This window comes from Homo sapiens, chromosome 12 (assembly GCF_000001405.40).
Source record: "Homo sapiens chromosome 12, GRCh38.p14 Primary Assembly".
Taxonomy (NCBI): domain Eukaryota; kingdom Metazoa; phylum Chordata; class Mammalia; order Primates; family Hominidae; genus Homo; species Homo sapiens.
Genome location: NC_000012.12, coordinates 1,353,091 through 1,371,309, shown reverse-complemented (window position 1 = coordinate 1,371,309; position 18,219 = coordinate 1,353,091). Strand labels below are relative to the sequence as shown.

Genomic DNA, 18,219 nt, shown 5'->3' with positions numbered 1-18,219 from the left:
GCCAGTCACAGAAGGACAAATACTGCACGATTCCATTTACATGAGGGATCTAAAACAGTCAAACTCACGCAAACAGAGAGTAGAATGGTGGTTGCAAGGCAGAGGAGAGAGGGGGAAATGGGGAGTTCCCATCAGTGGGCATAAAGCCTAAGTTACGTAAGATGAGTAAGTTCTAGAGATCTGCTGTATGACATTCTCTCTACAATTAATGATACTACATTGTACACTTAAGTGATTAAGAGGGTAGATCCCGTGTTGTCTTCTTACTACAATAAAATAAAGTTTAAAAAATATTCAGGCCAGGCGTGGTGGCTCGCGCCTGTAATCCCAGCACTTTGGGAGGCTGAGGTGGGTGGATCACTTGAGGCCAGGAATTTGAGACCAGCCTGGGCAACATGGCAAAACCATACAAAAATTAGCTGGGTGCGGTGGCACACGCTTCTGGTCCCAGCTACTCACTACTCGGGAGACTAAGGTAGGAGGATCTCTTGAGCCTGGGAGGTGGGGTTGCAGTGAGCTGAGATGGTGCCACTGCACTCCAGCATGGGTGACAAAGTGAGACCCTATCTCAAAAAGAATAAATAAAAATTGTTAACCTTTTAAAAAAAACTATATTAGTAAGAACTTAGTATTTCATTTTATATTTTAAAAAGAGTTCCTATAGTTGTAGTTGAATTTGAAAAGTAAACAGTTACTTTAAGAATAATCCTGTAACTTACATACTTTATCCATTTAATTTATTCCTTTGATAATTATTCTGTAGCTTCCAGATGATCTGAGGCATTACTGACACTGAAGACATTTTCATGCATACAGTGTACAACAAACTGCAGACTTTAATAACGTGGATATAGAAACACAGCCATCTATTCCTGGTGCATTATGAACATCAATCATTCTTTTCATCTCATGAATGCAAATAAGTTTGCAGTTGTGGCTTTACTGGCAATGATCTGCACACTTTGAAACAGTAATTTAAACTTTACAGATTCCTTGTGGTTTAGCTAATAATTACTTTATGGTTTGTGTCCAAAGGAAAAAAAGGTGGATTTAGTGGGGAAGCTGATGTAAGAAATTTACAAAATAATCACAATGGAGTTGGTGAACAATTAGTTTCATAATCCAAAATGCATTTCTCAGTAGCTCATCTTTTATGAAAGAAGACATATTTGATTTATAGGAACTATATAAGTGGCCTGAGCTTTTGACCTGAGGAAATGCTGAATCTGAGAATGCATTGCCCAAGTTTAACCTTGCTTCTGTCTTTTGTTAAGATAATTGAGCTTCAACAGCAGTCATATGGAAGAGTTTTAGTTTAGCCACAGACTGGAAGACTATCTGTCTACTGAATATTCTAATGGATATTTTTTATTCTGGATGTGTAGGTCTACTCAACTCTGAAAGCAATACTAACAAATAGAAGATGTGTACTCGGTTTACATCATGGAAATAAAGATTTGTTTCACTAGTTTTGCTGCTGGAAGAGGAGAGAAGATTCTCATCGCACTGTCCCCACACTACGTAATTCTAAGAAATGGCAGGCAACTTATACCACGAGGATCCAGTCAACACTAAAGGGATAATGACAGTCTAAATATATCCACTGACCACTTGAAAAAAATATGTTAAGTGGTGAAATGAGCTTAAAGGTGAAAGAGTTCAAGAAGGTCTAACTATGCAGTTTCCTGTTGACTGCGGTCATCTGTTCCCTTTCGGGAAGCTCAAAGACTGACCAAGCTGGAAGAGGCAGCATGCTTTCCCAATAAGGGTGCTACATTTCTGTGCACCAATAGTCAGAATCACATATTTAGTAGCAGGCAAGCAGCAGCAGGTGAATGACAGATAAGTTACTCTACCTAATTAGATTGAAATACCAGCACCTTTGCTGAATGCAAAATACAAAGGCGATCAGACTTGAGGCCTATTTTGTGCTTAAGGAAAATATTGTAATATGACATAGTAAAAATAATTCCATATTGTTGAAGCTTCTTGACTGAATTCCAAACTCTTTCATAAATGGTATGCTTGGACAGCTAGTGTGGTACAGTTCACCTCTGGGGTAAAATGTCAACTTTGCAAATCACAATATGAAATAACAGATGACAACTTAGATTTCTAATTTCAAAGTTTTGAGGAATGTGGCATTGGAGTCTGAGCCATTGGAATAGTGTCTTTTTAACAAGATATATAATTTGAAGTATTTTTTATGCAATTCAAATAGAGATTTTATTTCATTGATGCTATTTTTTTTACTAAGCAATGATAATATGCTATGGACTATACAGAATCAAACTTTCTCTCCTATGACCATGGCTCTCATCCTCTAAAAATCCCCTAACAGATCATCATGTCTTTCTGCTTTCCATTTACAACGTATACTCCTGACACTGATTTCTACATGTATAGGTGCCTAAGAAGGGCAATTCATAGTCAAGAGAATAAAATGTTTTGATTATATATTGCACATATAATCATATGAATTCTGAGTAATGTCTATCTTTGATAGGTATACTAGCTTTTAGGTTTTTCTTTTATTTTCCAAAAGGGACAAAGACAGTATTGTTCTCTTGGTTACAATTCTGGTAAATTTGAAGTGGATAGTATGAGGGAGAACAACCTCTTGAAAAAAATTTGGAGGATAGGGAAGAATGTGAAAGCTAGTAGACAGTAACAGCAAAGACTTTTAGGGAATACGAAAATTGCTGTTCCTCTAATCCATCTCTTAGAAAGGACCATATGGTATAGTCGGACTTACCTGATTAAGTTTTACATGGCACACTTGAGAGTGTCTAAACTCAGAAATGTTGTTAAAAACACTCAGCTTTTCAGAGGGAATGGAATTCACAGTGGAAAAAAAAGCAAATTGAAAAAATTTTATTTTAATAGCTGTCTACTCAATATAATTGCTTCTTTGAAAAAAAGTATTTTCTGATAAAAGTAGTACACAGTCATTGAAGAAAAACTGAAAGATACAGAAAAGTATAAAGAAAATAAAAATTACCAGAAGTAATTCTTTTTTATAACTTCTTTTAATCTGAGTCAATGGTTTGAGATCACCTATTCTAATACTGATATAAATATTTTAAAGAAATTGAACCTCAAAGGAATTAATCATCGACTTTAAGAGCTTTACGAACTAAAGACTATCCACAGAAAGGGGAGGCTTGCTAGTGTAGCACATTCTGACTTCATTCCCATGAGTCCCTAGGGAGTAATACAAGCACATAAAATGTGAACGGTAATATATGTATGCCACAAGCCCAGGGCAAAATAAGAACTGCAATGCTTTTCCTGTCAAATTACTCTCCTTGTTCTGTTCCCTTCTTTTCCAGAGTTAAAAAAAAAAAAAAAAAAAAAAGGAAAATGTGGACACGAAACCTTTCAAAGTATTAGTAATCCCCCCGCCCACATGACCAACATGCACATTATTAGCATAATGAGTAGGTAGCAGCAGAAATCCAACTTTAAGTCATTACAGTAGTCTATTCACTCTATCCCTGGTGCTTTAAACTACCAGGCCAGTTGAACCTGCCCTTTGACCTGCAAATTCTAATAGAATCAAGATGTCCCTAAAAGGGCTCTGCTGCGGCATTTGTGCTTCAGGAAATAGTAAGACCACCCCCTCTATCCCCTTCCCCCATCTGGGCAAATTTCAGAAACTGGAGGCAAACATCAAAGGCAAATGGAGCTCAAAATGCTTTTGAATAACATTCCTGAATCCTTGAGAACGCCACAACATTAGACTTCTATTGCTAGTAAATAAGAGACCGTAATTAGCGTTGTGATATGGTGGTTAAAAATCTGAATGAGTCCTAAGTATGTGTGTGTGTTTAACAGAAATGCAAGACAAAAAGAGGAGTATGAATGAAGGGCTGTTACCAAGGTTTATTATTCGCTCCTCCTCCAACTGAGTATGTCAAATTGAATGACTGTGTAATCATGTTCTATACATTCTATCATACTGAAAACATCTGGAAAAATACCAGATTAAAACTAGAACAAGATAAGTAGCTTTGGACATTTTAATGTCATGGACATGTAGGAATAGTTTAATTTACTCTAATTTTAAGATAAATCTGAAATCTAGATTAACTTACTGATGGACTAAATAAACCTTTGATTCTGCTACCTTCCTAGTTATTTAACCAATTAACTATCCAGAGTGAGTAGTAAACTACCAATATATCTCTTCTACTCTTCTATCTCTTTTCCTGAAGAAATCCTCTAATGACTAGATTCTTCAACTTCCCTTGCAGAGGTTTCAGAGACTATGGTAGATACACTACTTAAATAAACTCTGTGAAAACCATAGTCCATGGGAGAGCCTCTGTGGGTGGACCTCACTGAAATACCTGCCCTCGCAAACTTTGGTCCCTGTATATCTTATGTCCTCTGCAGGTCATGTTTATTTAGGTACCCAGAAATATCTCTTTAATGTAAAATGTCAACACTAACATTTTACATGTTAGTAACATAACAAATTACCCTTTTAATGTTAATAGAGCCATCATATTCCTGGATCCACAGGCTGACAACATTTAGTTTTTAATGTACCCACTGTTTTGTCTGTGCACGTCACTCCCACCCTTTTATCTTGGGCCTGCATTATTCTTAAAGCCTCTTCTCTGATTTCTCCATCATTCTATACTGTCCTACTTTTCCAAGGTCATCGTCATTAGGTCTCTTGCCATAGCAAATATTTTTGCCTAATATTCAGGATCACCTACAATTTTTTAACCCATTTCTTCCTTACTGTCTTCCAAGGACTCTCTGTCATAGAGCTGCTATGTGTTTTCACTTAGGTTTATGTTATGTCCTCTGCCTGAAATGCCTGTAGCTTTCTCTCCTTCAAAATCTGGCTACTCACTTAACTGCTAATTTCTCTCCATTCAGCATCTCCTTTCAGCACTTACATAGTTTGGATGATATTAACAGGCATTTGCTCTGTAAATGTTTTTTGATTCTTCTACATGGGTAGGGTCTGTTTCTCTGATTATAGTATGTTTATGATTTACCTCTTCAAAATTGATTAATGTTTCTGGTTTATTGGTCTGTTTATTAGCTCATTAACTTTTATCTTTTAGGTTTTTTTTAGTTGTGATAAAACACACATAAAATTTACCATAACCATTTATAAATGAACAGTTCAGTAAAGTACATTTAGATTGTTCTGCGACCAACCTCCAGAACTCTCTTCATCTTACAAAGGTGAAACTATACCAATAACAGTAACTCCTCTTTTCCCCTCCCCCAGCCTCTGGCAGTCATCATTTACTTTCTATCTCTATGAATGTGACTTCTGTAGGTGCCTCACATAAGTGAAATCAAACAGTATTTGTCTTTTTGTGACTGGCTTATTTCACTTAACATGATGTTTTCAAGGTTCATCCATGTAGCATGTGGCTGAATCTCCTTTTTCAAGGCTGAGTAATATTCCACCACACCCACATACCACATTTTGTTTATCCATTTATCCAACATGGACACTTGGGTTGTGTCTATCTTTCAGGTATTATGCTGCTATTTTTACATTTTAAAAAATGTCTTCCTTCGAGAGTCTTGGTTCCTAAACTTGAAAACTAAAAGCTTTCAAGTATTGTTCATGTTCTGCATTGCATTAGCCTAAACTGCTTAAGCTTTCTTGTTTTATTTTATTTAGGGCTGCAGTTACTCTATATACTCTATACTCAATACGCTGATATACTTTGCTAGTCTTCAATGTTTGCCCAAAGCCTGTGCTTAGGAATAGTTGGAATACAAACTCCACAAAGACAGGATCTTTGTCTGTTTTATTCTGTAATGAATTCCAAATGCTAAGAATAGTTCCCAGCACAGAGTAGGCTCATAATGAATGTATCTTGAACCAACTGCACCTCTGATTCTGACTTCACTTCTATCTGTTGTGGTGGTTCCCCCGCTGTTCAGTGTTTTCACCTATCCTGAAGCTGTATTTCACTGCACTTTTAAGGCATTTTTTTTTTTCCAGGCCAGTAGCGTCTAGGCAAGTGAGCAGAGCACGTAAGGAAGATAAACATAAACCACAACTAGAAAGAAACCATGAGCTTTGGGCAACTTACATTTCATTTAAAGAAAGAAAGAGCTGTGTTTTTCTCTAACTGAACACCTAGGTTCACTAGGTTCAATTCTATATGTCATAATTTAAGAGGGGGTGCACAAGTAGAAGGTATCAAAGGAAGATGACATAGTGGGATTATATAAGGCTATGTTAATCTAAAAAGATTTACTAACATAGCACAATCATTTCTACCAAAATTTTTAAGGTAGGTTTTGCAAAAACAGAACATTGAATCTGTGTTTGTCCAGAGGGCACAATTGTTACTAAAGCAGGGGAAGTCGCAAAAGAGAGAGATTTTGGTTTATAAAAGGAACATCTAGTGTATTAATATTTGTTAGTAAGTAGAGTTGGAAAGCTAAAAAATTATAGATCTTCCCATGACTAGGTGTTTAAACAGATTATCAGAGATATTGTGTAAGTAATTTTGTTTTCAGTGGTGAGACTGTCCTTTTCAACTCTAAGATTTTAATATAACTAATGAGATGAAACAATAAATGCTAAGTGCCAAATATACTGTATGGGCAGTAAATGCTGAGGTAGTACAGCAGAGAGAAATCACCTCAGGCTAAGGACGTGGGAACTGACATGGGCCCTATTTTGACAGAGAAATAAGAAAGACAGAGTGGCAAGTGTGAAAGCACCAGTCACATGTGAGGACACATCGTAGAACTGGATTAGAGAGTGTCTACAGGGACAGGAAATGGCAGAGAAGCTGAAGAGGCAGCTCTAAATCAGAGTAGAGATGGTCTGGAATGGTGGCCTAAGGAATAAACAGAATGTGAAATCCTTGAGGGTTTTAACCAGAACCCAGCAGGCAGAGGGTACACAAAAATGCTGAATGAGAAGTGATTTGATTTTGTACGTAATATAGAAATACCAAAAGTTTTAGAGAAGTAAAGCAAGGTCTTAGAAAGACTGAGTTGAAGGTAATGAGGAGAGATTAGAAGATTCTGCAAGGGGAAAGGCCAGGATGCTACTGCTAGAGATGTGTTAGAAGTAAAAATCTTATATTACAAAAACAGTTCCTAAAGAATGAAGAATAAAACGCTGCTGTCTGACTCTTGGATTCAAGAATTGCAGGTAGGACTCTAAATGAAAGACTGCTATGCTAGTCAATGAATATGCAACACAAAATAACTATCACATTTACGCTTAAATGCTACAAAGAAACTTTCAAAGGTCACCAAATACAGACTATTTCAGGGCATAGTTCCAACAGTGCACGCTGGGGTCCTGCCTAGCACAGCCCTCCTGCAGCACAATGGCAAGTCCTGTGCAAAGCACAATGTCCAAGATTTCTCACTTGCTGCTCATCTCATGTTTCTCTATCTCCTGAAACAAGGGAAAGGAACTGACCTACAGTGAGAAATACACTCATGGTTGGGCTTGGTGGCTCACACCTGTAATGGCAACAATTTGGGAGGCTGAGGCGGGTGGATCACTTGAGCCCAGGAGTTCGAGCCCAGCCTGCGCAACATGGTGGAACCTCATCTCTGCAAAAAATAAAAAAAACTAGCTGGGCCTGGTGGTGCATGCCTATAGTCCCAGCTACCTGGGGGACTGAGGTGGGAGCATCCTTTGAGCCCAGGAGGTCGAGGCTGCAGTGAGCCGTGATGGCACCACATTGCATTCCAGTCTAGGTGGCAGAGCAAGACCCTGTCTCTAGAAAAAAAAAAAAAAAAAAAAAAAAGGAAAGAAATACACTTACAAGGGAATGGGTAGAGAAGTTATCCCAATATGGACTGACTTCCATTTTTCACAAGTTCTTGAAAAAGATCAAAATTAACATTATAAAGGCAGAAACTGCTGGTGATTATAGCTCAGTAAATGACATTGATTGAACAAAATTGTAGGTGGAAAACTTGCGTTCAGTTTTTTCCTTCACCTTTTCTGAAAAATGAGCATGTTCATAAGATTATGGCAAGTTTAGAAGACTTAGTTTTACTGTGCTATTGAGACCTCTGCTATAAAGCCTCTACCTGCTTCTCAGATGGGCAAAAAACTCGACATCTGTATCTCTACTTGTCAAAAAACAAAAGTTTGTACATTCCAAATTTGTTTAAAAAATATAAAAATGAACTGTATTCTAATCCACAAGGATCGGAGGCAGATCAGTCGTTGCCAGGGACTGCAGTGGGAAATGGCGAGTGACCAGAAAGGGCAGACAGAAGCTCCTGGAAATGACTGTAGCTTGACAAACTCACCAAAATGTATGTCTAAAATGTTCGCACTTTATTGTATTTATATTATTCCTTAATCAAGTTACTTTAAGAACCATAAAATCTTCTGAATGAGGAATGTTCTCATATAGCAAACATGATAAGTATAAGCACGTTTTTTAACCTATAGTCAAATACAGATAACATAAAATTGACCATTTTAAACCATTTTAAAGTGTGTATTTCTGTGGCATTAAGCACACTGATACTGCTGTGCAACTGTCACCGCCATCCATATCCAAAGATTTTTCATTTTCCTGAAAAGAAACTCTACACCTATGAAAGGCTAACACCCTCCTCTGCCCCTTCCAGCCCTTGGCAGCCACGATTCTACTTTCTGTGTTTGAATCTGACTACTCCAGGTACCTCATATAAGTAGGATCACACAGCATTTGGCCTTTTGTATCTGGCTTATTTCACCCAGCATGATTCAAGCACAATGTATTTTTATGCTTCCAAATTTAAATAATGTGGAAGATACAAATTACCCTATGAATATTTTTTCCTCGAGTCCTCTTTTCCAGCTCTTCGAGAGAGAGAGAGACAGAGAGAGAGAGAGAGAGAGACAGAGAGAGAGAGACAGAGCTCTGAAGATCAACGGTTCTTATCGAGCCACTGCTGGACTAAGAAGGCAGAGCTGGCGAGTGCCAAGATCGGATGGACAGAGCAGATGAGAAAAGGTCTAGGGCAGAAGAACTCATAAGACCTGGTGAATGCTGGCAACTTTGCTGGAGTCCTGATGTCCTTTTTCATTAAGTGTAGTTAAAAATACACAACCACAGCTTCAGTGCTGTCAGACTGAATATGATGCAGAATCTCTGTGAATGACTTGTTTTTGGCCACTTAGTGTTAAATATCATTTATGGTGATACTGAAAATTTGTTCAAGAATGAGATATTTATAGGAATTCTAATTTCACATGCACACAATAGTGTGTCTTATCTTCTAGAGGGATGCAAGATAATGACACCTGAAGAAATACTAGCAACTAAATAAAACAACTTGGAGATAAAAGGTCTAAAAGCAAATAACGAACTGCATGGAAAAACAGAATGACTTTAAGAAGCATTGGAATCCAGGTGCTTTTCCAATGAATATTTTAAATAAAATTCAGCCCCATGGCTCTAAAGAAGGTCCCAGTGAACTCTGACATTCTTTCCACTCTTTCCCCCATACTTCATACAGAAAGTCAAGCTGCTAGTTTCATCCCATACTGTTGATGAGTTGATAGTAAGTAAAGGCCTTCCAAATATTACATCCTCAGTTTTTTAATGAATAATCACGGTCTTATAAATGTGGCCCAATGTTCCAGAGTTTTGCTTTCCTGGAGGCACTTTCATGAAAACCAACTTCATGAGAGATTTTCATTCCATATTCATGACGGTGGAATGCGAATTTAGGCTAAGTTTTTAGATATAGGTCTTAGTTTTAGTGCTCAAGATTAAGAAGGTAGCAGGGCTCCTGGTATTTAAGCACAGTTCTAGCTTCCCTTATGAAGGTGGCACCCAAAACTCATTTAATCAAATCATGCATTTCTACAAATTGTTTACTAGTTTAATAAAAACAGGCAATTTTTAATTTAATTTTTATTTTTTTATGTTTAATTATTATACTTTAAGTTTTAGGGTACATGTGCACAATGTGCATGTTTGTTACATATGTATACATGTGCCCTGTTGGTGTGCTGCACCCATTAACTCATCATTTAGCATTAGGTATATCTCCTAATGCTATCCCTCCTCCCTCCCCCCACCCCACAACAGTCCCCGGTGTGTGATGTTCCCCTTCCTGTGTCCATGAAAACAGGCAATTTTTTTTAGTCCAGAGACTGAAATAGCATATCCTCAGTTTCGTGGGTCTATCTTTGAGTATCTTCCATTCATCTTCCATGCCCACCTTTTTTTTTTTTTTTTTTTGAGACAGAGCCTCACTCCCATCACCCAGGCTGGAGTGCAGTGGTGAGATCATAGCCAACAACTGCAGCCTAGATTTCCCAGACTCTGGTGATTCTCCCACATCAGCATCCCAAGTAGCTGGGACTACATACCAAGTAGCTGGCATCACCATACCTAGCTTATTCTATTCTATTTATTTATTTTTATTAGAGAGGGGGTTTCACCATGTGGCCCAGGCTGCTCTCCTGGGCTCAAGTGATCCTCTCACTTTGGCCTCCCAAAGTGCTGGAATTACAGGTGTAAGCCACTGTACCCAGCCCTGTATTTCCTTAAACGTTACTTTAGCAAAAGTTATCTAGCTGCTTCCTTTATAAAATATACTTGTACTTATATTTGAAATGAAAGATATATTCTTCAGGGAATTAATTTTGGGAAGTTACACAAAAATTTATTCCAGTGATGCTGCCAAATTTCTCTTTAAGCTTCACAGTTTTATTGCATTATTTAAATATTTGGAATTATGACAAATACCCTTTTTATTAACTGAATTTTAATTTTGACACCAAGTCTTGTGCACAATGAATCAGAGTGATAGGTTTTGGATTACAGTGAAGTGTAAGTGCATATTTATTTTTAGGGGCATCCTGCAAACTGGCTCTGAAAGCAATTTCCAAGAAAAGGATCACAAATATATTTGAGCCATGACAGCCCCAATGAAGTAAGTGTAAAATCACCTATATGACTATTGTGCGACTCTATTGGATCCTAAGTTCCAACGTTCTTATTTTTTGATAGAAAGATTCTTCTACTTCATAGCCAAGCTTCATTTTCTTCATGACTAGAGAGCACTTCTGCTGAATGACATCCAGATCCCTGTTTATATTCTAAGCTTCTTTACTTTTGAATTATACTTAACAATGTCTGTCAATAGTAAAACAGACAACATAACTGAAATTTAAAAATCAGAAGAGAAATTAAGAAATTACAATAAGCCTCAGAATGTCTTCTTAAACAAACAAACAAAAAAGATGCCAGAGGAGAAGGGAGTACCTAGTTACGACAATGTCTGCTCATTTGGTATTTACTGTTTAGAATAAAATCCACTAAAAATTTTTAAGATTTACATTAATTTGCAAAATAATGGCACATAGTATCTTTCTTTAAAAAAAAAAGCCTGCATCTATAGAATTAGTTAACTATCAAATTGTATATAAAATGTATCTATATATTCTCCATGTTAGAAGACTCTAAAGATGACGTAACTCTTTTGTGATACACAAATATATACAGACCAATAGTCCTTTCAATATAATATGTAGGGAACTACAGTTTACGGTGAAACATTATAACAGAAAGGAAAACAACATCAATTCAGTGAGTGGGCCAAGGTTTGACTATTCCCTCCCAAACTCATGTTGAAATTTAACTGCCTTTGTAACAGTATTAATAGGTAGAACGCTTAGGGTATGCTAGGCCATGACCGCTGTGTCTTCATGAATGGATTAATGCCATTATTGTAAGGGTAGGTCTGTTAACGAGGAAGCGGGGTGTGGCCTCCTTTTACCTGCCTTCCGCCTTTCTCTTACCCTCTTTGCCCTTCCACCGTGGGATGACACAGCAAAAAGACCCTTGCCAGGTGTCGGTTCCTTGCTTTTGGACTTACCAGCTTCCAGAACCATAAGCCAAAATTTCTGTTCATTATAAATTACTCAGTCTGTGGTACTTTATTATTACAGCAATAAAATGAACTAAGACCATCTTAGACTGTTCCTTACAGTCTTAGTTCTAGTGAGTTGTCTCTATTTCTGTTGAGTGTAGAAGTGACTCCTGGATTCTACCTCATGTCTACCTATTTTGACAGAACTCGTAAAGAAAATATGTTTAATTTGACCTAAAATGATTGATTATCCAACCCCTCACCATGCTACAATTACTGATCCTCAGGGAGAAAGCCTCGACTGAGCCTACTTTTCCCTGAAGCTGTTATGCTTTTTCTTTCCCCACCTTGGTCAAAGTTTTGAGGGCTCCAATATAGTACTAATGACAATTTTGGATTCCTGACTTCAAGGCAGCAGAGCAAAGACCTATCAGTGACATTTTCCTCCAGAAAATTACTCCCAAACACCAGAATGAAAAAATGAAGCAAACTCTTATCTTTGTCGATGTAAGAAGATTTATGTCATGCCAAACTATAACGGTTGAAGTGAAAATGGATATGGAAATTCTAAATGATTTAGCATATGAAAATCAATCCAGAGTGCGAACCTACTACTTAGCTTCATCTCTTGAGGCTCAAGCTCAGCTTCCCCTCCTCCAACTTCATCCCCACATCTCCAGCACAGATCAGTGGATTTAAGACATAATTCAGTCTATGAGCGGGAAGCAGCTTTCCCCTGCAGAACCCAAGAAGGGCTCACAAATAGGTCAGCGGCTGTGGAGAGTTGTATAGCTTATTACATGGTATCAGATTTGCTTTACAATGGTGGCTCTCAAACATGAAAGAAATTATTCAAAATGGAAGTCTGTGCTCTACTCCAGACCTACTGAGTTTCTGGAATGGACATCTATACTTGAGATCCACTGTTTTAGAGGAAGACGAGCTGATTTAAAAGACCAACATTAAGGTATTACATACCTCTGATTCCCTACATCCTTGCCAAGACTGGATTTTTAGCATTTGTATGTACTTTCCTAATCCAATAAGTATATAAAAAGAATCTTTCAATTCCATAGTGAAAATGATCAAAGTAACTTTTGACTCTTAAATTCTCATGATATTGCAGGCACTCATAATGTTGATCATTATTGGACTTAGAAATATTATGCAGAGATGACTTCTATGGGTTGGTTCTATCTAATGTATTATTTGAAAAAAAAAAAAGTTTAGTGTTTTTTTTTTTTTTGAACAGACAAGGCCTTGCTATGTTGTCCGGGTTGGGGTGCAATGTTTTTTCACAGGCATGATCGCAGCTCACTGTAGCCTCAAACTGCTGGGCTCAAGCCATCCTCCCAAGAAGCTGGGACTACAGGCATGTACCACAAGAACATCCTATAATATATTCTTGGGCAAATCTCCTATTTTCCTGGCAAGGGCTATCACAAGACAGATAGGTGAATTTAGGATCTTCTGCTTTCTACATATCTGCCTTTAAAAATAGCTGGCAAGCCAAGGGAGTTTCTGTTAGGGATTTACTCAAATCCTATCAAAATCTCTACTGAATTATGTCTTAAACCCACTGATCTGCGCTGGAGATCTGGGGATGAAGTTGGAGGAGGGGAAGCTGAGCTTGAGCCTCAAGAGATGAAGCTAAGTAGTAGGTTCACAGTAACATCTGGAGATGGTCTGATAAAAAGATTTATATTGGCCTTTTCTCTCATTTTGTCTTTATTATTTTACAACAGTATGTCCTTTACGCTTCATGTTTTATAGTGTATGTAATATGAACAGAAAATTTCAGAATACAATCTTCCCATATGAAGATGTAGTCCCTTCAAACTAAGGTACACCTGTTGTTATATATGTCTACTTTTGGACTACACCATTTATCTTGTCTTCTTTCCTTAGGAAGTCTCTGTCTCCAAAAGTAAATAAAGTCTTCTTACATTGTCTCTCAGAACTCAAACTCCAGAATGCTTCTGCTTATTTAGATGTCTGTTTTAAGAATTATTGAATGCTTTCGGCAATTAATCTCTGCACTTTGTCACTGTCCCACTGTTTATTTAACCTTTCCCAGTTTTAGATGGATAGCATGTCCATACCAGCTGTCCACACTGTGCTACCGAGGGGGCTTGCTCGCCTTTCTTTAGCCTGTGCTGCATTCCACGTCTGTTTGTCATGACGTTTGCTAGAAGAATGCCAGCAGTGTCAGGGCACTCAGGTCTCCACCTCCAGCAAAATCAAGATCCAACTGTGTCTTGATCTCATAAAATAGCCAGCGTTACATAGAACATCTAATTTTGGGATTTGTGGTACACTTACAAAAAAAGTAGGAGCTGCTCCAATGCGTAAGTATCCGAGATATACTCCTATAGCTGTATAGGAAGCTTATGAAAGCTGTCAGGGATATATATGAGTGCATGCTGGGATGCTGAGAGAGTACTGAAGACATTGGGGCTACTGAGATCTTGGAGGTCACCAAAAACATTTGTTGGCCAAATGGATGAAAACAAACCCGGTAATTTATTACCTTCTTGCATTAATGATTCAACAATTTTATTATTCATCAGCTATCAATCTGTTGGCAAAAACTATAAGAGTCCCTTTTCTCCTACACAGGTTTGGAATGAGACACCTGGTATGTAAATTCTGTGGGAATGGGCAATGACTATGCCTGCATCAGGTAGATAAATTCTCATCAGCTGGGATGGTCCCATCTTTTCTGCATCCTCCTATAGGTTCTAGCTGCTTGCCAAATGCCAGACAGAATTTAAAAACAATGCTTACTACACCAATTTTTCCTTTTAATAAGGGGCATACGGTTAAAGTAGACATAAAAAGATGGGAAGCGTAGACTTTTAAAATGAAAGTGTTTTTGTTTTTAATTTGAAGGTTCTCTCCTTAGCTATGGCATTATTTTTATTAGGGAAAAATATGCTCAAAATAGTAAAGCAATAACCTTTACTCCCTACTGAGTCACACATCCTACTTCTCAAAGACACACACACACAAAAACAGCAACTGAAAATATTATTTCAAAGCAAGTTTTAGAATTTTATTATATATAAACTCAATTTTTTAAGTTTTAAACTTTTGCATATTTTAAAACAACAGCAGTAAAGATTTCAAAACTATAGAAATTGATACCTATTACTGTTTATATTTTGCATATGACCTCTGGATCTCTTCTTCCTCAACGGAATATAAATATATAAACACACACACACACACACACACACACACACACACTTTTTTTTTTTTTTGACAGTCTCACTTTGTCACCTAGGCAGGAGTGCAGTGGTGTGATCTCAGCTCACTGCAGCCTTGACCTCCTAGGCTCAAGCGATCCTCCCATCTCAGCCCTGCAAGTAGCTGGGACCACAGGCATGTGCCACCAGGCCTGGCTAATTTTTTGTGTGTGTAGAGACAGGGTTTCATCACGTTGCCCAGGCTGGTCTTGAATTCCTGAGCTCAAGCAATCCACCCACCTTGGCCTCCCAAAGTGCTAGGACTACAGGTGTAAGCCACCGCACCCAGCCAGGACCGAGTATTTTATCTCACTTAGAGCACCTCTATTTTACCTTACGTTAAAGCCATTTTTCCCATTTCTGAAGCTGGTTGACGGAATTAACTTCATCATGTCCACCCTCAATTCAGCTAATCTTTGACTCAGCTTTAGTGGTTCACTGGTGCCCACCTCGTAGAGTGAATTCAGTTTCCCAAAATACCATTCTGTCTGTGACCAGTTGGAGCTGACGATCAGAGCAAGAGGAATAAAGACAAGACGCTTTCTCTTGTTATTTACAGTCTGCTCCACAGGCCAAACTTTACCTCTGGCATACATAGCTATTCTCTAGGTCAGTATTTCTCAAAAGCACATTCCACAGAAGTACAGCAAGAGACAGTAACAAATAAGCATGACAAAAGATTTCCACGGTCAAATATGTTTGAGGAACACTGGTCATAACAGCACTGCTGCAGAACTTAGAAAAGCTTTTTATGGTGTAGGTTGCATATCTTTAATAGGGGGCTATATTTTAAAGCAGGAATCAGCAAGCTACTGCCACTCATGGTCAAAGCCAGCCCATGGCCCATGAGCAAAGAATGGCTTTTCCATTTTTAAATGGTTGAAAAAAAAGAAAATAATAATACTTTTGTAACCCCAAATAATATAGCATATAACATATAATAATTACATTTTGTGAAAATTATATGAAATTCAAAGTTTAGTGTCCACAAATAAAATTTTAGTGAACAAAACCTTGCTCATTTGCTTATATATTTTCTATGGCTACGCTGGTGCTACAAGAGATTTGAGTAGTGTGACAGAGACCAAATGGCCCACAGAGCCCAGTAAGTTTACAATCTGGCCCCTGAAAAAGTTCCAACCCTACCTATAAAGTATTTTCCAAACTTAACTGATCATGGAACCCCACCTTCTCTCTTTTCTGGGTGGAACATCACTTACCACCTTGAGGGATACTAGTACAAGAGAAAACAGTTTGGGAAGTGGTGATTTAAAGATAAATCAGTGGGCGGACTGCTGTAATCCCAGGATTTTGGGAGGCTGAGGTGGGCGGATCACCTGAGGTCAGTAGTTCCAGACCAGCATGGCCAACTTGGTGACACCCCGTCTCTACAAAAACACAAAAACTAGCCGGGCGCACTCCTGTAGTCTCAGCTACTTGGGAGGCTGAGGCAGGAAAATCAACTGAACCTAGAACGCGGAGGTTGCAGTGAGCCGACACTGCGCTTCGGCACTCCAGCCTGGATGACAGAGCAAGGCTCTGTTGCGCCCTGACCCAAGAAAAGGATAAATAAATGATTCTTCAAGAGTATGAATGAACTGGGTAAACACTCACTATAATTAGCATTGCCAGCATGATTACTATAGAGCCAGATATTCTACTAGGCACCTTCAACTAAGTTTTTTTTTTTTAAGATGGAGTTTCACTCTTGTCGCCCAGGCTGGAATGCAACGGGGCAATCTCGGCTCACTGAAACCCCTGCCTCCCAGGTTCAAATGATTCTCCTGCCTCAGCCTCCTGAGTAGCTGGTGTTACAGGTGCCTGCCACCATGCCCAGCTGGTTTTTCTAATTTTAGTAGACAGGGGTTTCACCGTGTCGGCTAGGCTGGTCTCGAACTCCTGACCTCAAGTGATTGGCCCACCTCGGCCTCCCAAAGTGCTGGGATTGCAGGCATGAGCCACCACACCTGGCCTTAACTAAGTAATTTAATCTTTACATCAACCTTATGAATCTGGGGAGATACCTGGTAGGCAGTTGTACTGACAGTCCTGCAATCAGGACCCGATTAAAGACTACGTGGGAATGATCAGCACTGAAAGTAATTAAAATCACAGGAGTACATGAGACCACCAAGATAAGACACGAGACCACCAAGATAAGAGGCGGGGCACACAGCACTGGTGGAAGAAGTCTATGAAGAACTGAGGGGGAATGGTCTTAGAGGAAAAAGAAAACAAAAAGAAGGTGGTCCCCTGGAAGCCAAAGATAAAGAAAGTTTCCAGAAATAAGAAGAGATAAAACATGTTAAAGATTCACAGGCAGGTCAAGATAAAGAATACAAAATTTCCATCGGATTTAGTTTTTCGAAAGTTACTACTTTGGAGGGTAGTTTCAGGGCTGGAGGCAGAAGCTATATTGCAATGGGCTGAGCAGTAAACAGCAGTAAACAAGTGGAAAGAGATCATAAATCAGTCTTTCAAGATCACACAAAACAAAACCAGAATCACAAACTCTTAGCATAACAAGAGACCTCACAGAACAGATCCATTCATGAAAATCACGGCTTGCTTGTGTTCCACACCACATGGCTGCCAAGTGGCCCCCCAGCCTATGTTTAAACACATTGAATGAGCTGGTGCCTATACCAGCTTTGACAACCTCTTAGGAAATTACTTATAGAACTGATCCCAAAAGCTCTCTGTTTTTAAGTTTTATTTATATTTTTTATTATCCTGCATAATTATTAAGACTGAAAGAGCTGTCTCTTTGTAACCCTAGTTCTATTCCTTTAAGCTCCATAAAAGAAATTCATTCTTTCAAATAACTGTCCTTAAAATATTTGAAAATGTTCTCCTGTCTCTTTAGCGTTAAAGCATTATTTGTAGGCCGGGCGCGGTGGCTCACGCCTGTAATCCCAGTACTTTGGGAGGCCGAGGCAGGCGGATCACGAGGTCAGGAGATCGAGACCATCCTGGCTAACACGGTGAAACCCCATCTCTACTACAAATACAAAAAATTAGCTGGGTGTGGTGGCGGGCGCCTGTAGTCCCAGCTACTCGGGAGGCTGAGGCAGGAGAATGGTGTGAACCCGGGAGGCGGAGCTTGCAGTGAGCAGAGATCACA

The 18,219-nt window shown here is 38.7% G+C and overlaps 1 protein-coding gene across 54 annotated transcripts in view; it reads right to left on the bottom strand.

Annotated features, from left to right (window-relative positions):
• The window catches only part of ERC1 (ELKS/RAB6-interacting/CAST family member 1), a 505,975-nt gene that overhangs the window by 124,624 nt on the left and 363,132 nt on the right, over positions 1-18,219 (bottom strand). The window lies entirely within an intron of this gene.